This window comes from Homo sapiens, chromosome 14 (genome assembly GCF_000001405.40).
Source record: "Homo sapiens chromosome 14, GRCh38.p14 Primary Assembly".
Lineage (NCBI taxonomy): Eukaryota > Metazoa > Chordata > Mammalia > Primates > Hominidae > Homo > Homo sapiens.
In genome coordinates, this window is record NC_000014.9 from 51238431 (window position 1) to 51265845 (window position 27415).

General features: G+C 37.8%; 1 protein-coding gene and 1 non-coding gene across 2 annotated transcripts, besides 4 other annotated features; both read left to right on the top strand.

The window, feature by feature from the left end:
• Window positions 1653-1995: a silencer, noted in NCBI's record as "fragment chr14:51706801-51707143 (GRCh37/hg19 assembly coordinates)". NCBI's record gives its function as "represses an EF-1alpha promoter that drives an FKBP-Casp9 reporter gene in an ReSE screen in K562 erythroleukemia cells {active_cell/tissue: K562}" and the evidence as "EXISTENCE:reporter gene assay evidence [ECO:0000049][PMID:32094911]".
• Window positions 1653-2095: a biological region, named in NCBI's record as "ReSE screen-validated silencer GRCh37_chr14:51706801-51707143".
• Window positions 1817-19225, top strand: TMX1 (thioredoxin related transmembrane protein 1). Its single transcript, NM_030755.5, has 8 exons — window positions 1817-2014; window positions 5426-5541; window positions 6883-6928; window positions 8662-8790; window positions 10896-10941; window positions 11038-11139; window positions 11263-11335; window positions 15911-19225. Exons 1-8 carry the CDS (start codon window positions 1863-1865, stop codon window positions 16087-16089), a joined length of 843 nt encoding a protein of 280 aa, NP_110382.3. The 5' UTR covers window positions 1817-1862; the 3' UTR covers window positions 16090-19225.
• Window positions 1856-2095: an enhancer, noted in NCBI's record as "active region_8372". NCBI's record gives its function as "activates an Ori minimal core promoter by ATAC-STARR-seq in GM12878 lymphoblastoid cells {active_cell/tissue: GM12878}" and the evidence as "EXISTENCE:reporter gene assay evidence [ECO:0000049][PMID:35858748]".
• Window positions 5660-5794, top strand: LOC124900346 (small nucleolar RNA SNORA70). Its single transcript, XR_007064395.1, has one exon. It is a non-coding gene; the product is annotated as a small nucleolar RNA SNORA70 (small nucleolar RNA).
• Window positions 9753-9842: an enhancer, noted in NCBI's record as "active region_8373". NCBI's record gives its function as "activates an Ori minimal core promoter by ATAC-STARR-seq in GM12878 lymphoblastoid cells {active_cell/tissue: GM12878}" and the evidence as "EXISTENCE:reporter gene assay evidence [ECO:0000049][PMID:35858748]".
• Window positions 19226-27415: the final 8190 nt, after the last annotated feature.

The window sequence follows — 27415 nt, forward strand, 5'->3', positions numbered from 1 at the left end:
AAGCCAGGAAGGGGCTTCCAGGTCATAGGTGGGTAAGAGACAAATGGTGGCATTCTTCTAAGTTTCTGATTAGCCTTCCAAAGGAGGCAATCAGATATGCATTTATCTCAGTGAGAAGAAGGATGAGAGGCAGGTTTGCCCTAAGCAGTTCCCAGCTTGACTTTTCCCTTTAGCTTAATGATTTTGGGGCCCCAAGATTTCTTTTCCTTTCACCAGCTATTACATACCCAAGAGATGTTTAGCAAGGAGTTGAATACATATGCCTGTAGTTCCCAGAAGGATCAGAGTCTGAATGATATACAGTTGAATACATATGCCTGTAGTTCCCAGAAAGATCAGAGTCTGAATGATATACAGTTGAATACATATGCCTGTAGTTCCCAGAAAGATGAGAGCCTGATGATATGAAGAGAAAGGTGGCGGGAGATGGGGGGCGGGGGGCAGTAAAGCATCCTGGAGATGCCGATGTCCGGAAGTAAAGGAGGACCAGCCAAGAAGTTTGAGAAGAATCAGCTACTGTAGGACAGAAAAAAAAGCGAGCTGCCCAGACAGCAAGATAGTAAAGTGTTTCAAGGGTGTGGTAGAATGGGGCTAGGAGTCATGCTAGATGCATTGAGAAGAAACAATTGGGATTTATCTTGCTGGTCGCTGGTGTCCTTGAGAGGGCTATTCAGTGGAGGGGTGGGGAAGGGGACTAATTGGGGTTAATTAAGTTGAAAAGGTGAGGTAAGATAGTGGCAACTATTTCCTTGAGACTTAGTCTCTCTCTATAGCCCAGATTGGAGTGCAGTGGAATGATCTCGGTTCACTGCAACCTCCGCCTCCCGGGTTCAAGCGATTCTCCTGCCTCAGCCTCCTGAGTAGCTGGGACTACAGGCGCCTGCCACCACGCCTGGCTAATTTTTGTATTTTTAGTAGAGACGGGGTTTCACTATGTTGGTCAGGCTGGTCACAAACTCCTGACCTCAAGTGATCCGCCTGCCTTGGCCTCCCTGTTTTGCTAGGATTACAGGCGTGAGCCACCGCACCTGCAACTATTTTCATTTGACTGATGGGGCAGTGCACATTTTGGTTTGCATTTGTATTTACGAATGTTTGAGAGAAAAAACTCAAATATCTTACAAGCCTATGTGTCTGGTTCCATTTTGAAGTACTGACCTAGGATCTCTGTACCTACTGAATTTTTTTTGAGAGATAACATACACCTGAAAGTGCATAAAGTGCACTGTCTTAAAATGTACAGCTTGATCCTTCTTTAAAAAAAATCATATACGTACGCCCATGTAACTACTGTTCATATCTAGATGTTGAACACCTCCAACACATCCAACATAACCATAATGTTCCTCTGCACCTTCCCTGTCTATAATCTCTCAGAAGTAAACCAATATTCCGACTCCTATAAAATCCATTAGCTTTACTACATGTTTCAAAGAAAACAAATGAGAACTCTGAAGGACATTTAATTGGAAAACTGCTTTAGCACATTATAAACTTACCAATTTGCTTGTAAACGCTAACCATTTGGCGCCAAAATCCTGGGAGGGTCTTTTAAACCGTTCTTCCTCAAAGCACCGCCCCACTTTTTACACCACGCCTCCTTTTGCTCTGTTCCTTCCCCCACAATATTGGGACACCCTAGGCGGTAGAAGCAGCCGCTTTTCTGTCATGCGCATTGCGGAGAGTCGTTCTTCCCTCTTTCCCGACTTCACCACTCACTGGGATCAGACCCCTGTCATGCGCATTGAGAGTCCTCTAGACAGGCGCTCCTCGCAGCACCGTAGTGCGCTTGCGCTGAGCAGCCCGCGAGGGCGGAAGTGGGAGCTGCGACCGCGCTCCCTGTGAGGTGGGCAAGCGGCGAAATGGCGCCCTCCGGGAGTCTTGCAGTTCCCCTGGCAGTCCTGGTGCTGTTGCTTTGGGGTGCTCCCTGGACGCACGGGCGGCGGAGCAACGTTCGCGTCATCACGGACGAGAACTGGAGAGAACTGCTGGAAGGAGACTGGATGATAGAATTGTGAGTGCGGGGCGGCCAGGGTCCTACGTCCGTGCCTGGACACACGACTTCACCCCGCACGTTCCTCGTGCGGGTCGCAGGCTCCCCAGGACTGCGCCTCCGAGTTGCGGAGCGAGCGTCCCCGACTTCTGCAGCTCCCCAAACTCTTGGGATCTGCCGCCAGCTTGGTCCCACCCCCTCGTCTCTTACCCGTGAATGTTAAGTTTCTTCTGGGGTGCACCCTCGTTTCGTTTCTTGGGTTGTGGTGCGCCCAAAGGGTTAGTGCCAATGCGAATTCTGACATTTTTCATGACTTTGAGGATGCGACTGGGGCGCGGGGAGGGAGGTGTCCGACTCGTGTCTAAGTAGTTAAAGTGATTCTTCACAGACTTCTACACTTATTTTCACCACATTTTACATAAGAGAATATTGAGCAAAATTTCTCCTCTCGTTTTGTCTGTCCTTAAAAGATAGTCTCTTTATGGTGTTGGAATTTGGCGCTTTTAAGCTTTTTTTAATGGATTGGGTACGTTTCTTTTTTATTGTAAATACTGAGTCAATTCAAGTTGGGTTATTTTTAAGTTTTCGTTTTCTCTTTTTGCCTCCTCTTTTGCTTTCTCTTTTTTTCACTCCTCATCTCATTTTTCCTTTGGGTGTCTTTGTAGTGTAGAGAATACCTTGGGTTGTGACTCCTAGGTCTTTGTAAATGGTATTACATTAAAAGATAATGTATTAATGTATACACTCTCAAGAGCGCCAGGTCATCATTTATTGCTCGAACGAAATCATGTATTTTGTGTGGTGATTTCAATTTAATAATATCTGTTCTGCCGCGGTGGGAAATAAAGTATCTGTCTTTGCTTTAGATGCTAAGTCGTTGTTGATGGTGGTATTATACATATTAGCAGTATTTACTGATAATAGTAAAAGCATAATTATTAACAGTGTACTGGACACCACTAAGCACCTTTACACGAATACCATATTTAATTCCCTACAAATTCTCTATGACAGGTGTTTTTCACGTTTTACAAATGAGTAACAAGATACCTAAATACTTTAGTTAACCTATGCAGATATTGCTGTGCTGGCTTTCTTTGGGTCTTCAGAGTAGGCATACAATAATTGTTGTTAGAACACCTTCTTCTTTAAAAAGGTTCAGCTGGAAGTGGCGTACGCTACCCAGGAGATTGAGGTATGAGGATGACTTGAGCCCAGGGGTTCAAGAGATCCTGGGCAACTAGCAAAATAAATAAGTAAATAAATAAAAATGAAAAGACAACAGGGTTCAGGTGAGTGTTTTCTTGTGTCACGAATACAGCAAGGGTTGTCAAGTTAAGGAGGCCAGTGAAAGTGACATCCCCAAGGGAGAACCCAGAAGGCTAAATCAGTAAGTCCTGTGTTATTTTTTAAAAAAACAAAACTGGCCGGCGCGGTGGCTCACGCCTGTAATCCCAGCACTTTGGGAGGCCGAGGCCGGTGGATCACGAGGTGAGGAGATCGAGACCATCCTGGCTAACACGGTGAAACGCCGTTTGTACTAAAAATACAAAAAATTACCTGGGCGTGGTGGCACGCGCCTGTAGTCCCAGCTACTCGGGAGGCTGAGGCAGAAGAATCGCTTGAATCTGGGAGTCAGAGGTTGCAGTGAGCCGAGGTCGCACCACTGCACTCCAGCCTGGGCGACAGAGTGAGACTCAATCTCAAAAAAAAAGTAGAACATTTATATGGAGGGTAAGATAAAGGGAAATTTTCATAGTATGCATGTAGTCTGCAATTCTGAAATGAATTTTCATTCAGGCACCATTGAAAGCTTCAGGGGAGAGGAACTGTGACACTTTTTCAGTCATCATCATGAGTAACTTGTTTTAGATCGTGCCTGTAAAATAGTGTTATAAGCAATATATTAAGCAATAGTGATCGTGTGTGTATATGCAAAATACAGTCAAGTATTACTCAAGGATATTTTTTAACTCATTATGGTCCAACTATATAAATACAGCAATCAGAAGTAGTATTAAGGAGAACAAGACTAACAAAACATTGAGTATGAGGTAAATCCACATTGGAGCATCTATCTGAAATTATGCTATAGAGTAGTAGTTTTTCTTTTTCCTTAAGTAGAGATTCTAAAGTAAGTTTTTAGAAAGCAACTGACAGCCTGGGCAACATGGCAAAAACCAGTCTCTACAAAAAAATACGAAAAATTAGCTGGGCGTGTGGGCAGGCATCTGTAGTCCCAGCTACTTGGGCTGAGGTGGGAGGATGTCTTGAGCCCGGGAGGTTGAGGTTGCAGTGAGCCCAGATGGCGCCACTGCCCTCCAGCCTGGGTAACAAAGCGAGACCCTGTTTCAAAAAATAAAAAAGCAACTGAGCAACAAAACGAACCTGAAAAAGAAGGACTCTAGTAGTTTTAGTAATAGTCTGCTCCTAATTACAAGTGAATTATCTACAGTAAATCCATTTCTGCTCAGAAGTTTTGTCATGGAGATATTTTCATTGTAATACGATTTATTGTTAGGAGCTTGGCTTTTATACTACCAGTTTGTCTTGTTCTACAATGTCTATTTTAGGAGTTTGGTTTTCATAAAACAAGTGAAGAAAATGTGAAGTACAGAAAGTATAGTTTTGTGTTTAACTGCTTTAGGCTTTATTCTTCCTGGTTCTGTTAAAAAAAAAAAAAAAAAAAGAACAACCCTGTGGTGTATTATAAGATAAAATACAATAAAGTGGAAAAATAAGATCCTCAGGAGATAATACCAGAGGAGTAATTTAAATGCTAATATGCTTGCATTTGTAAATCCAAGGTCTTGGAAACAGGATGACCTAACTGGCCAAGAGTTTTGTTTGGCCTGCTTAGTATTTGTGTGTGGGTTATTTTTTGAGGTAACATTCTCATATAAAAATGCAGCTCTCCATCTTCTTTTAAATATGAATAGCCAGCCTTAGTGTGCCAGCATCCTTAGTGGCAATCCTACTTAATAATGGTTGCCACTTTAAGATGGAATATGTGCTTTCTTATTCACCACAGCCCAGGACACTTCTGTTTTTCCAACACCTTGCATTTGTGACTCTGCATTATAAATTATTAAAATTGGTAAGCTCTAACTTTGGTCTTGAGCTTTCTGGTGGCCACACCGTTAATAGAGAAATGCAAAAGTTTTCTAAAGAGCTGTTTTGCATGTGAAAAAATCCTGTGTCTTATTCTCAGAATTTTATTTGATTAGCATCATCAGTTCATCATTCTTGATTTCCGGATTGTTAGATCTACCCTTAAAAGTTTTTCATCTGCATAAAATTAACCACCTTATCATCTTCAGTGTTTTCATATGAAATATTCTTCATAAATTATACATTTAAATTTTTTATCCCAAGATAAATGGTCATACTAAAGTGCTTAACTTTTTTTAAAAAAAAATCTGTATTTCTTAGTTATGCCCCGTGGTGCCCTGCTTGTCAAAATCTTCAACCGGAATGGGAAAGTTTTGCTGAATGGGGAGAAGATCTTGAGGTTAATATTGCGAAAGTAGATGTCACAGAGCAGCCAGGTACTGTAAGTCTTTGGTTAGTTTTGTTTCTTTGCTGTTTGGGTTGATATATTTATCCTTTTTTCTACATTGCATAGTCTTAATTCTACCTTTCTTTAGGTTTTGAAAACCTAACAGTCTGCAGCTAGTTAACCTGACTTGTCCACCTCCCTGCTGGGGGCTCAGTGTGCAATGGTTGCAAAATGGAGATTCCCTGGTTGTGTATACACCTCATTTCTTGAATGTGTTGCTTTAAGGGTTCTTGAAGACATTACCCTCTTTTTATTCTTGCCCACATAACTGCCTCTGATTTGTTGTTCTTTGCATCCCAGGCCCCAGACTAGTATGTAAGATGCCTTTGAGAAGTCCTAGGACACTGTGGTTCAGGTGAACATTGGCCAAGCCACATTTGCATCCATACCAGGCTTCAGAATAAGGAGCATGTGGTTGAGTGTTTTTCTGGAGTCAAGGTCACGTTCCCTGACAAAAGAAGACCTGAATCTCTGAAATTGAGTTTTAAATTTAGTACCTATGATTTGAGGATGTGGGCTTCTAAATATAAAGCCCTCGTGGTTGTGAGGTCAAGTGCACTCCTGACTTGGTCCCTGGACAAGTGGCAGGTCCTGCCCTTAAGGAGGTTCCTTCCACAGACCAATCTCATCTTACCGTTCTCGGTAGTCACACTACCCTTGGATTCTTGGCTGTCCCATCCCAAATGGTAATAATAGGTAATATTTATCGAGCGCTTGCCTATTATAGCACTCTTCCAAATATCTTGTGTTTATTATTTAATCCTTATACAACCCCGTGAAATATGTAATGTCCCCATTTCACAGATAAGAAAACTGAGGCACAGGTCAATTCTCTGTAATATCAGTGCTTGACACATGGCTAACAATAAATGTTAGCTGCTATTATTTTTGCCTGTCTCATGAAAGATTCATAGTATTTTCCATTTTTAGCAGCACCATAAACTGCCTTTGTTTGTTGAATGTCAAGTACAATTCCATTGGATTTTAGATCTAAGACCCTATTACCTTGTGCTCTCCCATGAGCACAAGGTGCTCTTATTACTAGTAGTCTTAATTTTGACAGTGATATAAATGTTGAAGTGTTTTTATTTAAAAATGTATTCAGTACTCTAGTTCTACATACTTTTTAACTGAGATAATGTGCAGTATTGTGTTTTTTAAAGTTGCTTTAAGTACATAATTCATTTTTAAATTATGTATTACGAAGCTCAACTATTAGGTATAATTTCATATTCTTTCCTATTAGTATGTATTTAAATAATTCAAAGTCACGTTTTAAGTAGTCAGTGATTGGCCTATGTAAAACCTGCTGTGTGTTCTTTATTTGTAGGACTGAGTGGACGGTTTATCATAACTGCTCTTCCTACTATTTATCAGTAAGTATTTGAAGATTCTAAATTATGGAGAAGGATGCATTATAGTGTAATCAGAAGTAGTAGGCCTCTGGCTTGGATCATGCTGGAAGAGCTGAGGTAATCTCATTATATTCAGCAGGTATTTTAGAGGGCTTGTTTTGCTTAGTGTTATCCTAGGTGCCTTTAGGTAGTTGAGTGATGTGTGAAACAGTCTCTGTTCTCAAAGATTTACAGTTGTTTTGGAAAGTGATGTTCTTGTGAAATGGTGTGATCCTGTTCAGCGTGTTAAGTCATTATGCATCCAAAGTAGTGGTGAGTCCTGTAGGTAATTGGATAAAGGAGAAATCACAGTTACCTGGATTGGTTCCCAGAGAATATGGGGTTTAAATGAAACCTTGGAAGTAGAATTTTAAGAGTGGAGCGTAAGCATTTTATTGTGAGGACAATCTCATAAACAGTCATTAACAGGAACATGTTATGTCCAAAAAGTAGCTAAGAAAGTGCTGTTGTACAGCCTTGGGTAGAGTAATAGGTGACAGTTGGGTAATAAAACAGAATGAGCAAGATTATGTAGTCTTCAGTGTCAGGTCTATTAGTTTGACTTTATCTTCTAAATTGAGGGTATGAAATCTCAAGTCTGTGTACCCCAACATCATGTAGCTGGTAGGTTAAATACCAGGAGGTACTGAAAATAAGTTGACAATTCTTTGTATTTATAGCTTGCTTTTCTTTGCCCTTTTTTCTTTTTTTTATGGTTTTAAAATTCACCCCTACTCCCTTTACATCTATATAAATTTCTGTTCGCTGTCTCCATAAGTGCTTCTGTCCTGCCCTTCTCATTCAGTCCTTTTCCCCACGTGCCCCTTCAGTCTCTCCCTTTGCTTTTCACTTCTTAGTGCCCTGTGACCTTATTTGGAATTTCCTGCCCTTTTTCTTTTAGTCAAAATTGTTTACCATATCCTTTCTCCTGTTTCCTGCCTGTCGAAATCTTACCTATGCTTCAAATAATAGCTCAAATGACACTTCACAAAAACTTTGTGTTTTGGGGTGGGGGGCTTCCTCGTGGTTTTTACCTCTGAGTGGATAAAGGGTCCCTTAACCCTACTTAACAGGTCCCTAGTAGGGAGCTGATGAGTTTTTGCACTTAAAGATGTTGGAGCCAAGAGAACATTTGTGACTCTGACAGAACTTTCTACATTGGGAATGGGAAGGAGGAGGTGGATCTAAGGAAGGCTGCAAAGCTCACTAAATAGTCACTGAAATGAGAGGAAGGGAAGCACCATACCAGATGCCTCCAGTGATTTAAAGCAGGGTGTCTGAGGTGATGCTATTATAGCCAAAAGTACTAGAAAAATGCCTTAAAATTTTAAGTTATAGCTTAACAGCTAATAATTACTATGTGCCAAGCACTATTCTAATAATTTTTATATAATTCTTTTAATATGTGTATTACACATAAGGCTTAAAAGTACTTTCCTGAGATTTATCTACTTACTGTATTTCATAGTTTCATTACTTGGAAGAATAACAGTAATTACATTTTAAGGCTTATGATTTAAAAAAATGTAACCTCATTGTTAAATTGGGGGCTAAAATGTCATGAGTAGGTAAATAGTATAATTTGCTATTAATACTTGTACATTGCTAATGCTTTTGAATGTTAGAATTGACTGTAAAGTGAAGTGAAAAAATAGCAAAATAAATATTAAATTATTTCTCAGTGCTGGATAATATTTAATTCTGATTCTCTTTAGTTGTAAAGATGGTGAATTTAGGCGCTATCAGGGTCCAAGGACTAAGAAGGACTTCATAAACTTTATAAGTGATAAAGAGTGGAAGAGTATTGAGCCCGTTTCATCATGGTTTGGTCCAGGTTCTGTTCTGTAAGTATGAGGGCTTTTTCTCTTACCCATTTCATAATTAATTGGAACAGATAATTATATTTTATGTAAAGCATTCATACTCAGTTTGTTTCTTGAGCTGTTAAGGTATATCCACATTTATTACATGTTTGATTTTTTTTTTTTTTTTTTTTTTGAGATGGAGTCTTGCTCTGTCGCCCAGGCTGGAGTGCAGTGGCGCAATCTCGGCTCACTGCAAGCTCTGCCTCCTGGGTTCACGCCATTCTCCTGCCTCAGCCTCCCGAGTAGCTGGGACTACAGGTGCCCACCGCCACACGTGGCTAATTTTTTTGTATTTTTAGTAGAGACGGGGTTTCACTGTGTTAGCCAGGATGGTCTTGATCTCCTGACCTCGTGATTTGCCCACCTCGGCCTCCCAGAGTGCTGGGATTACAGGTGTGAGCCACTATGCACGGCCTACATGTTTGATCTTTTTAGTTTGACCTTCTAAGTCAAACATATTTTCATGCTTCTTGAGTTAGAGAAGGCATTTTATAGAAGTAAGTTGTACACCTTTTCAGGAATATTTTAGCTTGCTAGATTTGGTCATATGTATCATCAAAAACTAAATGCCCCTAAGAGTCTTCACAGTGTAATGGGTAAAGCTATCACTCGAGTGTAATAATTTGAATGAGTAGGCTCAAACTTGTACTCATGCTACCTCCAGACTTCAATTTGTCTTTTAATGTTCTGTCTCCATAGAGACCGTCAATAATTGCCGATACCAACTAAATTAATTACATAAACTTCAACTCTTGATGTCAAGCGACTGAATTATGTTTGGTTGGTTATTCCACCTGTCTGATAACTTCTTATATGAATAGTGTGTATAAACGGTGACCGTAATAGTGTGCCTAAGCACTGAGCTTTATAGATATCTAGAGGGTAGATGAATTTCCTCGTAGCAACTGGCTATGGAGTGATAAGGATTGGAAGTAGCAAGCATGCTTTCTGCTTTGCTGTTGGAGTACAAGGCCTCACTGGTCATGTGAGAGACCTCTGGGAACAGTGAGTTTTGCTGAGGTCACCATGGACTGATCCTGTGTGGCCATCTGTCTCTTCCTGTCCTCTCACCACACTTACCTTTGGAGGATAGGGAGTTGGGACAGTAATCACATAAGAGAAAAATGCTCTAGATTCTGGGGATGGGAGAAAGATTAGCCCTGTTAACACTCACCCATTGAACTACCATGCCCAACTCAATTTTGGATCCTACTGTTTCTGAAATAAATTACTGCAGACTACAGTGAGGCTATACAGTGCTTTATGTTTCAGTTCCTTGTTTCTCTTCTCACTTGGCTTTTAAACAACAGAAGCAACATGATTAAAATACCTTTCTGTGTCGAACTAAAAGTATAACTGATTTTTGTTCTCTGAAATCTCATCTCATAAATGAATCTTGTCCTTCCAGTAGAAGAAAGTAGTTGCTTGTAAGTCTATTTTCAAGCAGCTACAATTGGGAACTCACAGACCTTTCTTATTTCTGAAACATGCCTTTTTAAAACTGGCCATTTAATTATGTAAAATACTAATTTTTGCTTATATGATGACTTAGCATTTATTTCCTATGTAATAATTTTGTATATCATTAAAAGATGTCAAACTAATGCTCTTGTAAATTTTAATTAATTTCAATAAAAAAGAGGGATAGTTCTTAAATGGAAAGAATTGGCTTGACAATTGTTTCCAGTCCTTACTTTAGCCTCCCTTTGGTCTTGCTTTGAAGGCTTTTAAGGGTGAGTAAGAGTTGCCTTTTCCAACTGGTTTCATGGAACTTGTAACCCTTTACTCAGTGTATTGGAGAAATCATCAGATGAAATACAAAATATTAACATCAAAACAGTGGGAGAAAAGGAAAAAAATACTGTCAAGTATTTTTATTTATGAGGCTGTCACATGGTAGTGTCAATTTAGAAACAGTTTTCATGAAGAAGGCTTATTACAGGCATGAAATCAGTGATGTGTCACTAGTCTTGATTAACAGCAATAAAATCTGTCATATTGGGGAAATTATAGAGTAGAAAATAGTATGTATAGACAAATCTGTGTATGTTACTCAGTTTTTTAATCATCTCTTTTATTTTTAGGATGAGTAGTATGTCAGCACTCTTTCAGCTATCTATGTGGATCAGGGTATGGACTAAAATATTTTTATCTTAAACATTTTTACCACTATCACTTTAACAAAAATGAACAGATTTTTAGTTTTTTTTTTTCTTTTGATTTTAGACTTGCCATAACTACTTTATTGAAGACCTTGGATTGCCAGTGTGGGGATCATATACTGTTTTTGCTTTAGCAACTCTGTTTTCCGGACTGTTATTAGGACTCGTAAGTATTTCATTTTTGGAGTGCTAGGAAGAAAGATATTTAAAAATGTGATTATTTAAAATAGTTACATTAGCTGTGGCATATATTCTACATTCAGATTTCTTACAATGTTTATTTTTACAGTGTATGATATTTGTGGCAGATTGCCTTTGTCCTTCAAAAAGGCGCAGACCACAGCCGTACCCATACCCTTCAAGTAAGTATATTTTAAAATGTTTATTTTTTATTCACGATAGTCCTATTCATTTCTGTAATCACAATCACACATTTCACAGGTTGCTCTTCCAGCTTAGAATTCTAACTGTGGATTGTTGGTCTTTATCAGCTATGGCATAAAGGAAGGTAGAGGAGATGTATATTTCATATAAGAATGTAGCCCAGTGGATTTTGGAACATTGTTATTTTCTTGACTCTTATATTATGGGGAATTTTAACATTGCATATAGCATGTAGCTATTTAATAATATTTATTTGGTGTCGTTTTATAAGTGGAGTATATTCTACTCTTGAAGTCTTTCATTAGTATACCGGCCGCCACATTTGAAGATTATTCTTTGAATGCCAGCCAACTGTAAGTTTTTTCTGGTAGGATATTGGGAAAAGCAATCCCTATAGTTGATTTAGGATGCCACTGACACTGAACTGTACTACAGAACAATTTAAATAATTACAAGCATTTACCAATCTTGTAATTGTACTGTTAATGGAAGCATTTATATTTGCAGTTCTTAAAGAACTTTTACTTATCTGTTACCTCGTTTGCTCTTCAGCACCTCTGTAGTAGAGTGCATAGGTGTTACTGCTCCCATTTTGTACTTGAGGAGACTAAGGTTCACAGTCACACAGAAGTGACAAAGCTGATTTTAACTAAATCAGACTTGTGGCCTGATATTCCTTCATTTATTATGTCTTTTGTTTGTTTGTTTGTTTGTTTGTTTTTGAGACGGAGTCTCGCTCTGTTGCCCAGGCTGGAGTGCAGTGGCGCGATCTTGGCTCACTGCAACCTCTGCCTTCCGGGTTCATGCTATTCTCCTGCCTTGCCCTGCCGAGTAGCTGGGACTACAGGTGCCCACCACCACGCCCGGCTAATTTTTTGTGTTTTTAGTAGAGACGGGGTTTCACTGTGTTAGCCAGGATGGTCTCGATCTCCTGACCTCGTGATCCGCCAGCCTCGGCCTCCCAAAGTGCTGGGATTACAGGCGTGAGCCACTGCGCCCAGCCATGATGTCTTTCTTAACTTAGCTTATTGAGATCAAAATTTCCGAAATGAAGTCTATGGAGATTGAATTTATAGTGTACCTTGTCCTTTCATACTGGTAGGTCATCTTTTCATTTCTTAGATAGTTGCATTGATACTAAAAAGGACATGCATAGGGGATGGAATCATTTTATCCAAAAAGGGCCACTGATGTCTAGGAAAAAAACGTAAGCACAGATTACTTAAAAGACAAATGTATTGTTAGGTTTAAGGTTTTTGAAGTGAAATGAATATAAAATGTTTACTCACCAACTTTTAAATTGTGAATAAAATGTAAGATATAATTTAGTAGATACAAAAGATAGATATATAAAAGTAGCTATACCGATGGTCCCTGACCTACAATCATTCAACTTAAAATTGACTTTACGATGGTGCAAAATGAATATGCGTTCAGTAGAAACCGTACTTTAAATTTTGAATTTTGACCTATTCTGGGCTACTGGTATGGAGTACTTTTGTGATGCTGGGCAGATTAGGTTAGGTTAGGTGTATTAATGTATTTCAACTTATGTAAGGATAGGTTAGTTGTATTAAATGCCTTTTTGACTTATGATATTTTCAGCTTATGATGATTTATCAGGGTATAACCCCATCATAAGTCAAGGAGCATCTGTATTATGTTTTGTTTTTTTATATTCTGTCTTCACCCTCACATAAATCATATGGCCGTCAGAAAATCCGTTGTGTGATAAGTGTGCAACTAGCATTGGATCCCATAAATGTACCAAAGTACCTACTAAGTCATGTGATGTGCAGGCTGTTACTGCCACTGTTGCCAGGTCGTCCTCCTGTCTCCCAAGAGTTTACTTTGGGAGTCTGCATAGATTGATTTCTCTGAGGATGTAGGTGTTGGAGTCTGAGTCATCTTACCACTTAGAGCAAACTTGAGAGTGTCTGAGACTTGCCCGAAGAACTTGTTCAAACAGATTGCTGATTCCCCACCCTGGGTTTTGGACTCAGAAGTTCTGTATTGGGGCCAAGAATTTCCATTTCTTAAAATTCCCAGGTGAAGTTGATGTTGCTGGTCTGAGGACCACTATTTGAGAACCCCTGTCTTAGAGAAAGTGGTTACCAATGGGAAAATCTATAGGCCCCGGGGCCTGAAATAACTTGTCTTTTGGTGTTGACCATACAAACTTTTTAAAAGAATACTGACTCTGATAGAATCCTTTCTGTGCAATATCGTGGAATACGTAACTGGTGTACACAAAGAGGTAAGTGTTCTCAAACAAGATGGGTAAGTCAGTGAATAGGCACAATTTTAGAAACTTTAAAAGAGTTGAACCTAAGGAAATGACAGAGATAATACTCTACCTCTTTTAGGAAGTTACAAGGGAATTCATTTCTTGGAAATGAAATTTTTAAAATGACTTGGCTAATTAATGTCAAGCTACTTAAGTTTTTCTGTCCTCTATTATGATCCACAGTAAAAGTCACTAAAGAAATCTTTCCCTTTAAATATCTGTTAATTTGGAGGGATTGAAAGGTATAAAGTAAAGGGTTTTTTGAATGCCTTTCCAAATCATTCAAAAAGAAGGCAAGCATGGTCTATGAGCCAGAGAGATCTGATTGGGCATCCCAACTCTACCACTTAGTAGCAAAGCAGTATGACAGACATTTTTTACCCTCTGAGCGTGTAACCTCCTTTGTGAAATGAAAGTAATTAAATTTGCCCCTTTGGATCATTATGACACTTAGGAGATAGGTATGTAATGCTCACATTATCCTAGTAACATATAAGCAGTAAGCACTATGTATATGATTGTGTAATTTATTTTTCTTTAGTAATACAACTGATATTAATCCAGACTTTAAAGTGATATTGCCATGCCCCTTCCGTAATGGAACACATGATTTGAATTGTTTTTCAGTATGTGTGCTTGTCTTGATTTTGAGTTGCTAGGGTTGCTAAGGAAACCCAACTCAATCTACTGTTAAGCAAAATTGGAATTTATTGGTTTATGTAGGGATGAAGTCTGAGGTCAGGGTTGACTGGATCCTTAAGGCTCAAATGATGTTGTTAAGATGCTGTTTCTGAGTTACTCAGTTCTCCACACCTTGACTTGTTCAATTCTCAGTTGAGTGTTTAGAATTTTTTATTTTTTATTTTTCTAGTTTTTTTCTGCTCACAAGGACATCTGGATCAGTTTGGCCCTTTCCAGTCACTAGCATAAGGTGGTTAGAGAAAACCATAGTCACAATCTAAGAATAAGAAGGAAATTCATTTTTTTTCTACACCCACCTATTTTTTGGAGAAATTCTGGTGCACTCTGCTTGTGTAAAGGTCTCATTTTTTGGAAACCAGGGTTTCTCAGCCTTGACACTATTGACGTTTTTGGCCAGATGATTCTTAGTTGTGATGGACTGCCTTTTATACACTGTTGAATATTTAATAGCATTCTACTTGCCAATAGCACTGCCCTTCTGAGGTGTGAAAAAACAAATATCTCTAGACATTGTTAAGTGTTCCTTGAGGAGGGCGAGAACTTACCCTTGGTAGGGAACCACTGCTGTAAACTAGTATTCACCAGGACCGCCTGGGGTGTGGCATAGAAAAGGGGCTGTTAGCCCAAAATAAAGATGGATGCCAGGCAGACTAAACAACAGATGGTTCATTACTGGTAATTTTTCCCCATGGTTTATTCTGCCTTATTAACCCAATCCTTCCTTGCGGGTGTCCCCTCCCTGGCCCCACCATTCTTGATTGCCTAGGATTGGGGGCAGTCTGAGATCATTGAACAGAGTAAAGCTCTTTGACCCAGTTCTGTCTCCTGTATCTCACCATGGTGTGCTCTAAGCTTAAGTTAACTAGCAGCTGGCCATATAAAACATCGAAAGGGTGTGTATTTATTCATTGAGATGTACACTTAAGATTTGTACATTTTATTCTTGTAACTATGTTGTAATAAAATCATACATATGGGGGATGAGTAAGGGGAAGCACATTTATAAGACCAGAAGAAGATATGGACAGAAATACAACCTTCAACTGTAAATGTGTGATTTCTGTTCCCCTGGGAACTGAAACAAGGATACTGTTTAAGTTTTAGTATACTTGTTGACCAGAAGTTTAATAGCAAATTAATATGAGATAGTTTTTTTAAAAGGCAGTCAAATTTAGCAGTGGGGGTTGTGTATCACCATTAGTGACAGTAATAGTAAGTTCTGATAACCTACTACCATTGGACCAACCAGTTTTTTTTAATGCTGTATATTTTCTCACAACTTCCATATTCACAACATTAATGCTGATTCATTAATTTCAGTTCAGTTTATAAATAGGTGGGTAATTAGAATGACTTTGATAACTAAAATGGCTCAAACAATTTTTATTTTTATAATATTCATGGTTTTTTTTATCTTATCTTGAATAACTTTCCTTTTGGACATCCAAACATGATAAATTTATGCCAAAGCAGTTTTGGGGCATATGAGACATTGTATCTTGATTTTACTCTAAAGCAAATCTAATACATCAACAAAAATACATTTTTGGTCTTTGTCTTTAAGAAAAATTATTATCAGAATCTGCACAACCTTTGAAAAAAGTGGAGGAGGAACAAGAGGCGGATGAAGAAGATGTTTCAGAAGAAGAAGCTGAAAGTAAAGAAGGAACAAACAAAGACTTTCCACAGAATGCCATAAGACAACGCTCTCTGGGTCCATCATTGGCCACAGATAAATCCTAGTTAAATTTTATAGTTATCTTAATATTATGATTTTGATAAAAACAGAAGATTGATCATTTTGTTTGGTTTGAAGTGAACTGTGACTTTTTTGAATATTGCAGGGTTCAGTCTAGATTGTCATTAAATTGAAGAGTCTACATTCAGAACATAAAAGCACTAGGTATACAAGTTTGAAATATGATTTAAGCACAGTATGATGGTTTAAATAGTTCTCTAATTTTTGAAAAATCGTGCCAAGCAATAAGATTTATGTATATTTGTTTAATAATAACCTATTTCAAGTCTGAGTTTTGAAAATTTACATTTCCCAAGTATTGCATTATTGAGGTATTTAAGAAGATTATTTTAGAGAAAAATATTTCTCATTTGATATAATTTTTCTCTGTTTCACTGTGTGAAAAAAAGAAGATATTTCCCATAAATGGGAAGTTTGCCCATTGTCTCAAGAAATGTGTATTTCAGTGACAATTTCGTGGTCTTTTTAGAGGTATATTCCAAAATTTCCTTGTATTTTTAGGTTATGCAACTAATAAAAACTACCTTACATTAATTAATTACAGTTTTCTACACATGGTAATACAGGATATGCTACTGATTTAGGAAGTTTTTAAGTTCATGGTATTCTCTTGATTCCAACAAAGTTTGATTTTCTCTTGTATTTTTCTTACTTACTATGGGTTACATTTTTTATTTTTCAAATTGGATGATAATTTCTTGGAAACATTTTTTATGTTTTAGTAAACAGTATTTTTTTGTTGTTTCAAACTGAAGTTTACTGAGAGATCCATCAAATTGAACAATCTGTTGTAATTTAAAATTTTGGCCACTTTTTTCAGATTTTACATCATTCTTGCTGAACTTCAACTTGAAATTGTTTTTTTTTTTTTTTCTTTTTGGATGTGAAGGTGAACATTCCTGATTTTTGTCTGATGTGAAAAAGCCTTGGTATTTTACATTTTGAAAATTCAAAGAAGCTTAATATAAAAGTTTGCATTCTACTCAGGAAAAAGCATCTTCTTGTATATGTCTTAAATGTATTTTTGTCCTCATATACAGAAAGTTCTTAATTGATTTTACAGTCTGTAATGCTTGATGTTTTAAAATAATAACATTTTTATATTTTTTAAAAGACAAACTTCATATTATCCTGTGTTCTTTCCTGACTGGTAATATTGTGTGGGATTTCACAGGTAAAAGTCAGTAGGATGGAACATTTTAGTGTATTTTTACTCCTTAAAGAGCTAGAATACATAGTTTTCACCTTAAAAGAAGGGGGAAAATCATAAATACAATGAATCAACTGACCATTACGTAGTAGACAATTTCTGTAATGTCCCCTTCTTTCTAGGCTCTGTTGCTGTGTGAATCCATTAGATTTACAGTATCGTAATATACAAGTTTTCTTTAAAGCCCTCTCCTTTAGAATTTAAAATATTGTACCATTGAAGAGTTTGGATGTGTAACTTGTGATGCCTTAGAAAAATATCCTAAGCACAAAATAAACCTTTCTAACCACTTCATTAAAGCTGAAGACCAGTATGATTTCTGGTTGCTTTTTGAAGGTATGCTTTATTACTTTGTATTTAACGATGTTCAGATGAGTAGTTGTGTGTTCCTATATATGTACTTGATATGTGTAATCAAAAGACTGCCTTCTTTTTCTATTGAGATGTTTAAGGACAGTAATGCTCATTAATCAAGCATTTTTTTTTTTTAGTGTTCTAGTATATGTGACATGGCCAATTTTTTTATTAGAAAATATGTGACCAGAAAGATTCTATAGAGTAAAAAATCAAAGCAAAACAAAAACCACAAAAAGACCCCTGTACTATAGAAAATGTAAAGTTGGCTGAACAGATAGGGTCTTGAAATTTCAGGAAACATATAATCTCACGGTTCTTAAAGATTGTCACTGTAGACATCTGAGTAATTAATTTTCAGTTAGTAACAGGCTTATAGAAACTTTGGGATTATTTACAAATGGTTTAGGAAAGAATAAGGTATAGTAAAAGTAATATCCTGGAGAATTCTGGGCCACCTACCCACCATAATCAATTCAGCTGTACTACTGAAGTATTGTAAAATCTGATCTCTAGAGGAAAATACAGTATTCTACCTTACGTTGTGTAAATACTTAATGATTATCAGAAAGACTGAAAAAAGTTTTAATGAAGAATTCTGGCTACATCTAACAGCTGCCATTTACCAAGTACCTACTGGAGCTTTGTTGTTTTCTTGTATTTATTAATTTAGTCCTAATGACAACTGCAAGACAGGTAAGCATTGCACATCTTTCAGGTGAGTCAGCCCAGAGGTGTGGTACAAATAGGTAAAATTTGAATCTAATTCTTGTTCCAAATCTTTTTTTGTTTGTTTTTGTTTTTGTTTTTTTTCTTCAGTGTGGGTACATGAAATTCAGCAATCTCTTATTTTGGTCTTTTTTTTTTTTTTGAGACAGAGTTTCACTCTTGTTGCCCAGGCTGGAGTGCAATGGCATGATCTTGGCTCACTGCAACCTCCACCTCCTGGGTTCAAGCAGTTCTTCTGCCTCAGCCTCCCAAGTAGCTGGGATTACAGGCATGTGCCACCATGCCCGGCTATTATTTTGGTCTTAAAATTTCACTCCTGTCAGAATGTAGGAGTGAATAAATGCTATTCATAAATAACCATAATTATTCAGTATTTGCAGTCTCGTGATGTTGGTTATTGCATAAAGTAAGTTATTGCAGTAAATGATGCTTTAGAAAGCAATTTTCTCTCATCAGTTTCGTCCTTATTCAGCCTTACACAAAAAAAGGCATAGTTCTGGGCTTAATTGTGATGTAATTAAAATTATTGAGTGAACATTTTGGCTCATATTTTATGACATTGTAGTTCATCCCCATGGTCAATTTAAGGTAGAGTTCTTACAATATATTACTTTCAATATAGGTATTTTATTAATAAGAATTTATTTCAGTTGGACTTATTAAATGAGTGGTTTTGCTGAGTGTATGAGTCTATAAATAAAATTTTAATTGAACATCATTGGAGATTTAGATATGTTGGTACTGCTTATCTAGCAACTTTTGTATTTGTGAAACCATTAAAACTAGAGTAACAATAAATTTAAGTTGGAATTTTGGTAATATGTAAATAGCAAAGTCAGATTATATATTTGAACAGGTGTAACATATCCCCTTTTTTCTTATTTATTTATTTATATTTTTGAGATGGAGTCTCACTCTGTTGCCCCGGCTGGAGTGCAGTGGCATGATCTCGGCTCACTGCAACCTCCGCCTCCAGGGTTCACGCCATTCTCCTGCCTCAGCCTCCCGAGTAGCTGGGACTACAGGCGCAGGTGCCCACCACCATGCTCGGCTAATTTTTTGTATTTTTACTGGAGTTGGGGTTTCACCATGTTAGCCAGGATGGTCTCGATCTCCTGACCTCATGATCCGCCCACCTCGGCCTCCCAAAGTGCTGGGATTACAGGCGTGAGGCACTGTGCCTGGCCTTTGTCATTTATTTTTAACTGACAGGAAATAATTGTGTATATTTATAGGATACAATGTGATGTTTTTATCTGTGTACATGTAGAAAGATTTGACCAAGCTAATATATCCATCACTTCACCAGTTTATCATTTTTTTTGTGGAGAAAATGTTAAAAATATAAGTTAGCTATTTTGAAATATGCATTAACTGTGGTCACCATGCCATGCAATAGATCACTAAAATGTATTCCTGTTGTCTAACTGGAACTCAGTACTGTTTGATCAACATCTTCTCTTTCTCCATTCCTCCCTTACTTCCCAGCCTCTTGTAACCACCTTTGTATTGTTTCTATGAGATTAACTTTTTTAGGTTCTACATATAAGTGAGATCATACAGTATTTCTTTCTCTTCCTGGCTTATTTCACTTAGCATAATGTCCTTCAATTCTGTCTATGTTACTGCAAGTGACAGAATTTCCTTCCTTTTTTAAGGCTGTATAGTATTCCAGCATGTATACTACATTTTCTTTACCCATTCATTCATTGACAGAAACTTAGGTTACTTCCCTATCTTGGCTACTGTGAATAATGCTGAAATGAACATGGGAGTGCAAATATCTCTTCAACATACTGATTTCAGTTCCTTGGATACATATCCAGAATTGGGATTGCCGGGATACAGGGTAATTCTGTTTTTTTTAGTTTTTTGAGGAAACTTCATACTATTTTCCAAAATGGCTGTACTAATTTACATTCCCACCAAGAGTGTACAAGGGTTCCCTTTTCTCAAAATTCTCACTAATACTTATTTGTCTTTTTGATCATAACCATTGTTAACAGGTGATCTCTGATTGGGTTTTAATATGTGTTTCCTTGATAATTAGAGATGTTGAGCATTTCTTATATCTGTTAGCTATTTGTGTGTTTTGAGAAATATCTGTTTATCTTTTGCCCATTTAAAAAAGTTATTTTTCTTAATAACTGGAATTGATTTATTAATAAATCATTAGAAATTATTAGACATTAATAAGAAATTATTTCTAAATAAATAGAATTTAGTTCCTTATATGTTTTAGATATTGGCTCTTTATCAGTTATATGGTTTGCAAATATTTTCTCCCAATATATGGATTATGCCTTTTCCTGTGCAGGAGCTTTTCAGTTTGATGCAACCCCATTTGTCTGGTTTTGCTTTTGTTGCCTGTGCTTCTGGAGTTCTGTTCAAAAAATCATTGCCCAGATGAATGTTGTAGAGCTTCCAGTAACTTTATAGTTACAGGTCTTAGGTTTAAGTCTTTCATCCATTTTGAGTTGATTATGGTGTGAGATAAGAATTCCATTTCATTCCTCTGCATGTTGGTAAAAGCACTTATTCCAAACACCATTTGTTGAAGAAACTCTTTTTCCCATTGTGTGTTCTTGGCATCCTCTTTGGAAATCAATTGACTATAAATACTTGGGTTTATTTCTGTGCTATCTATCCTATTCCGTTGGTTGATGTGACTGTTTTTATGCCATTACCATACTGTTTTGCCTTTTTGCTTTACATTTTCATGGAATATCTTTTTTCATACCTTCACTTTCAGTCTATATATGTCCTTAGAAGTGAAGTCAGTCTCTTTTAGGCAGTATGTAGTTGGGTCTTTTTTTCTTTTTTCTTTTTTTTTTAAAACCATTCATCTGCTCTGCTTTTTGATTGGAGTGTTTAATCCATTTATATTTAAAGTAACTATTGATAGGTAAGAACTTAATACTGTCATTTTGTTAATTGTTTTCTGGTCAATATTGTGGATCAGTTGTTCCTCTCTTCCTCTATTGCTGTCTTCCTTTGTGGTTCCTTGACTTTTTATAGTGGTATGCTTTAATATTTACTTTTTATTTTTTGTATATCTACTAAGGATCTTTGCTTTGTGGTTACCACAAGGCTTGCGTAAAACATACTAATAACGGGCTATTTTAAGCTGATAACACCTTAATTTTGATCACTTGCACAAATTACACTTTTACTCCCTACTAGTGTTTTTCTTGACATGTTTTATATATTTTATAGTTTGTGTTCCTTAAGAAATTATTCTAGCTATGGTTTTTTTAATAGTTTTGTCTTTTAGCCTTTGTACTAGATATATAATTGTTTTTTATACCACCATCAGAGTATGAGTGTTCTGAATTTGACTGTATACTTTTACCAGTGAGTTTTCTATCTTGATATATTTTCATGTTGCTACTTAGCGGTATTTTTTGAAGAGTCCTTTTGGGATTTCTTGTAAGGCAGGTCTAGCGGTGATAAATCATTAGCTTTTGTTTTTCAGGTAAAGTTTTTGGAAGACAGGATTGCTGGGTATAGATAGTATCTTGGTTGGTAAGGTTTTTTCCTTTCAGCTTTTTGAATATATCATCCTATTTCCTTCTGGTTGGCAGGGTTTCTTTTGAAAAACCCAGTGATAGTCTTATGGGGCAGCCCCTTTGAATGTAGCGAGTCACTTTTTCCTTGCAGCTTTCAATATCTTCTCTTTGTCTTTAACTTCTGAACAGTTTGATTATAATATGTTTTGGTGTTGGTCTCTGGATTCATCCTTTTACATCATTGAACTTCCTGGACCTGGCTTTCTATTTCCTTCTTCAGACTTCGGAAATTTTTTACCATTATTTGTTTGAATGTTTTGTCCCTTTCTCTCTTTTCCTGGCACAATGATAATGCATAAATTCTGCTTGATGATGTCCTGTATGTCCCTTAGGCTGTCTTCACTCCTTCTTATCCTTTTTTTTTCCTCTCTTCAGGCTGAATGATTTCCAATGACCTGTCTTCAAATTTGCTAATCCTGCTGCTTGATCTAATCTGTTGTTGAACCATTCTGAGTTTTTTAGTTTAGTTATTGTATTTTTCAGCTTGATGATTTCTGTTTGGTACTTGTTAATATTTTCTATCTTTTTATTGAATTTCTCTCTTTAAGAATGGCTCTCCTTACCTTGGTGAGCATCTTTATGACTGTCCTTTTGAATTTTTGTCAGGCAAATGACATATCTCCATTTCCTTAGGGTTGGCTTCTGGAGATTTATCTTTTTTTTTTTTTTACTTGGAATACATTTCCCTTTTTCTTCATTGTCCGTAATTTTTGTGTTAGTTTTTGCTCATTAGATAAAAGAATCCCCCTCCAAGTCTTGGTAGACTGGCCTCATGTAGATGTTCTCCCTCAGTCAGCCCCACCAGAGATTCTAAGTGCCTCTAAACTCTTTGTGCTTGTCCAAAGAATCTTTGTTCTTAGTGGACCCCAAGAAATTAGAGAGCATCAAGTCATACTATTGCCTTGTAAGAGGCAGGATAGAAGGCAGTCCTTTGGAATGCAACTGCAGAGGTTGGAGTGTGAGATATGATTCAGTTCTTCCCTTGCAGAGAAGCTGAGAGCCAGAGTTTATCTCTGACTCTTTCTATCTTACATCAAGGACGGGTCAGAAGCAGATCCTTAAAGTCTTGTTCAGGTTGTGCACTTTGAACCTGGGGAGATAGCTGCTGAACGTACAAGTTTAAAAGTCATCTGTTTGTTCTCTATGGTCCAGAAGACTCAGGAATACAGAGCTCTGTCAGTTTCCAGAACTAGGTGATGTAGGTGCCAGTAAAGGCTTAGTGAAGGCTTTACAAGTTGGGGTGCTAGATGCATGTGGAAACTTTCCACAGAGTTTGCAGGTTGGATCTGTTGTTGGAACAAGCCAGAGAAGATGATGTTGGGAGTGCTCACTCTCCTGTTAGAGCAAACAGAAGTTTCACAACCTCCTAGCAGGGGGAGACTTTCCTGGAGTTGTCACTGAAGTAAGCCAGGGAGGAAGGCAGGGAGTGTCTGCTTTCCCTTTTATACATAGAGAGGTACCCCTTGCTGGTCAAGAAGGTGCAGGGGATGCTATCGCTCCCATTCTTGCTGGCAGAAGTCTCCAACCTCTTTCCCTGGAGAGCTATAGCAAGTTAAGGAAGGTGACATAGGGAGTGCCATGCTTCCCGTTTAGACTTGAAGAGATTTATTTATTTATTTATATATTTTTTGAGACAGGGCCTCACTGTTGCCCAGGCTGGAGTGTAGTGGCATGATCATGGTTCACTTCAGCTTCAACGTCCTTGGGCTCAGGTGATCCTCCACCTCAGCCTCCCGAGTAGCTGGGGCTACAGGTGCATGCCACCATGCCCAGCTAAATTTTGGGGGTTTTTTTTTAGAGATGAGGTCTGAACTATGTTGCCTAGGCTGGTCTTGAACTCCTGGGCTCAAGCAGTCATCCTGCCTTGGCCTCCCAAAGTGCTGAGATTATAAGTGTGAGCCACCACACCTAGCCTTATATATATATATATGTTTTGGAGACAGGGTCCTGCTCTGTCACCCAGGCTTTAATGCAGTCGCAGCTTCATAACTTACTGCAGCCTCAAACTCCTGGGCTCAAGTGATCCTTCTGCCTCAGCCTTCCAAGTAGCTAGGATTACAGGCACACACCACCACACCCAGCTAATTTTAAAATTTTAAGTAGAAACAGCATCTTGCTATGTTGCCCAGGCTGGTCTTGAACTCCTGGTTTCATCCTCCTGCCTCAGCCTCCCAAAGTGAGGTTTATTCTTTATTTTGCTATGTAGGTTACCAGGTACAGGTTTGTTAGAAGCCAGAATCTCAGGGAGCTGCTGGAAAAGTGTGTGTTCAAACCCTTTCAGGAACAAGTTGGGAGCTGAGCTGATCCTGGGGACTGCAGCAACTGGGAGTGTTTGTTTGGTTCAAAAGCCCCCTTTGTTGTTTGTGCTTGAAGGAAATCTGATGCCATGCCCTCCTGTTTCCCAAGCAAAGTAATTTTAAGTGTCAGACTTTAAGGCAGGGACTGTAAATGTTGAGCACATGTGGTATAAGTCCCTCACCCATCAGGAAGAAGCTAGGATTTGGAGTTTCCTTTCTGTTTTTAAGGTGCCATGCTCACGGTAGGGTTAGTGTGCTGGTGTATCTCCACTTTTCCTACCTGTTTTGATGTGGATATTTTCTCAGTCATATGGTGTGTAGGTGTCTTTCAGCTGGATTCTGGCTTTCTCTTGAGAGCTGATCCATGTGTAGGTGTTTACCCAGTGTGTCTGTGGGATGAAGGACAGTCAGGAGCCTTCTATTCTGCCCTGTTGCTGACATCATTCCCCTCTCTCTCTTTTAAAGTAATTGTTTATTTTGATTCATTAATTACAAATGGTGATAATATCAGTATTTTGCCTGGTAATGAAATCCGCTTGTATCTTCTACCCACTTGGGTGTGACATTACTTTTAAGCTTGTTTTCCTAGTGGTGTTATAACTCAGACTGGTTGTGTCCAAAACATGAGAAATGAAAACACCAGAAGTAAATTGACCAAATAGAGGTTTGACTTATCTGAAACTTCTTTTAAATGTAAATATAATTAAGAGTCATCGTTTTAAGTTCAGTGGAAACATACTTAATTTTTAAGAGTAACTTAAGCAATGTATTTTTTTCAAGCCTTCCTATTTTCAGTGTTTTTAATAAAGCAGGTCAGAAATAAGGTTACCTAGTGGATTTGAGTATATCAGTTCAAGTCCTTAGGATGATTGGCATATTGCTACCTGGGCTTTTATTTATTTATTTATTTTTTTGAGACAGTCTTACTCTGTAGTCCAGGCTGGAGTGCAGTGACGCAATCTCACCTCACTGCAACCTCTGCCTCTTGGGTTCAAGCGATTCTCCTGCCTCAGCCTCCTGTGTAGCTGGGACCACAGGCGTGGACCACCACACCTGGCTAATTTTTTTTTTTTTTTTTTTTTGAGGTAGCAGGGCATTCTTAAGAAATGTTCTCTAAACTTTAGATATCTCCCATGTTCCACAGAATCAAATATATATTTCTTGGTTGGAAATTTTAAATGTTCTTAACTATCTGCCTACCATCCACCTCAATTAATATTCTTGAGACCACTTTAACAAATCAGCTCTTCAGTGAATGTTCCTCACATTGTCTGTTGGTTCATAAGTCAGCTGAAATCCGTTTAAAGTCCTTTCCGGCCCACAAGTGTAGGTTTTATCATCCTCTGGCAGTTAAGTCACATTTGTCTTGTAATGTTTCTTCTCTTGCATTTATTATACCAATTAGCTAAGTGACATTGAGCAAAGACCATACATCTCTTGTCCTCAATTTATGTGTAAAATGATTACTGAAGTTTCTTCTCTACCTTTAAGAAGACAATTATTAGATTCATACTTGTCTCCAAAACCTGACTGTCAGCTCCTTGAGGCCTGAAACTTGTTAGTTTGAAACAAACTGTAGTGATGTAGTGGGAGACTTCCGAGCATTAATGTTCACATTTGTAAAACGAAACAGGTCACTAGGAAATAATCACACCCTGAGTCTGCTGAGAATGGGGAGCCAGAAATGAAAAAGGCTGCCCTGCCCTTTACTCTCATAGACAATACTGTTGTGTTGTGTCACTGTACTAGCATCATCCCATCCTTCACTGCAAAAGCCAGATTTTAAGTCCTCCATCTGTGTCTCCCCTGCGTTCATATGCTTCAGGGGCAGTTGACTCCATCTTTGCCTGCTAGATTGAGTTTAGATTATGAACACACATGCTAATCCAATCCAGCAATTGACATGGTCAATGGATGTGTGCTCCAAATAGAGCCATTGAGATATTGCGGTATTCTGGCAAGGCCTCTTAAAAATGAGACTCAGCAAAGAGATAGTTCTCTCTCTTCTGGAGTTTGGCATTATCTGAATGTGATGCACAGAATTTTGAGGTCATCTCACAGCCTGAGGATGAAGCCAATAAACAGGATGGCAGAGCCAAGAGGATCTCAGAAAAGCAAAGGGAAAGTCCTGGTGTAATACCCCTTACCTCTGGACATCTTACTTGAGATAATTTTTCTTACTACCTAACCATTTTGAGTAAGACTTTTCAGTTGAAATTATGAGCATGGCTGTTACCTCTCGACTTTGTGAACAATGGTGTCTTGATTTAACTTAACCCAGTTCATTCCATATGTATTTCATTATCTGAGAATGCTCATTTCAAGCCTATGGTTTACTTCTCTCACTGTGACATTCCAAGGTTAGGGGGAACAAAGAGTACATGTATGTGGTAAAAAGTAATTCTTGGGCCAAATCAGACACAACAAACACTGGGTAATGAAAGGTGAAATGAGTATAGTTTTCCTTTCAGGGATCTATTTTTTATTATAGCTCATAATTCATTACACTAATGTTATGCTCTGTAAGCATTAGAGATGAAATCCTGGAAGCTAAAAATAGTATATATTGGGTTCAAATATAGCTGTTTAGTGTGAAAGCAGGCTTTGAACCTAAAAGAGCCTTGCTTGACTTGTTTAATAGAACTTTTATATTTGGATTTTATGTTTAGTGAGCAAATTCTTACAAATCGTTTTGGACAGTTACTTTAGTTGTCTTCTGAGAATGGGAACAATATAAGTTTGAAGGTGGTAGGAATTATTTTGCTATTTTGTTTCCTTTGAGGAGGAGGAAGGAAAGGATGAGAAATGTTTATGTTATCACGAATGTTTCTTAGTCTAATGTTTATAAAGGTGGATTGCAGTTGAATAAGACTACTGCTTAATAGTCTGTAACTTGCACTGTAACTGGAACCATTTTTTAAACTATTATTTTGTAAACCTGTCAAGAATGTGATTCCTTTTTTTTTTTTTATGTATTTGCAAGCTCCTTGTCAGTGCATGCTTTGACACCTTACTGCTGGAGAAGCCAAACTGCTTGATAACTTTTAGTAATATATTGCATATAAACATTTTTAGTTACATTCAATGTTAACACATAAATTCAGATTCTTAAATGGTCCCAGTTTTCAGGCTGATTTTTAGCTGAGTACGT

Bases quoted from the DNA above. Each gene is read 5' to 3' on its own strand.
- TMX1 (NM_030755.5), top strand. From the start codon at position 1,863: ATGGCGCCCTCCGGGAGTCTTGCAGTTCCCCTGGCAGTCCTGGTGCTG. The intron at 6,929-8,661 runs GTAAGTATTTGA...GATTCTCTTTAG, and splicing joins GCTCTTCCTACTATTTATCA to TTGTAAAGATGGTGAATTTA. The intron at 11,336-15,910 runs GTAAGTATATTT...TTTGTCTTTAAG, and splicing joins GCCGTACCCATACCCTTCAA to AAAAATTATTATCAGAATCT.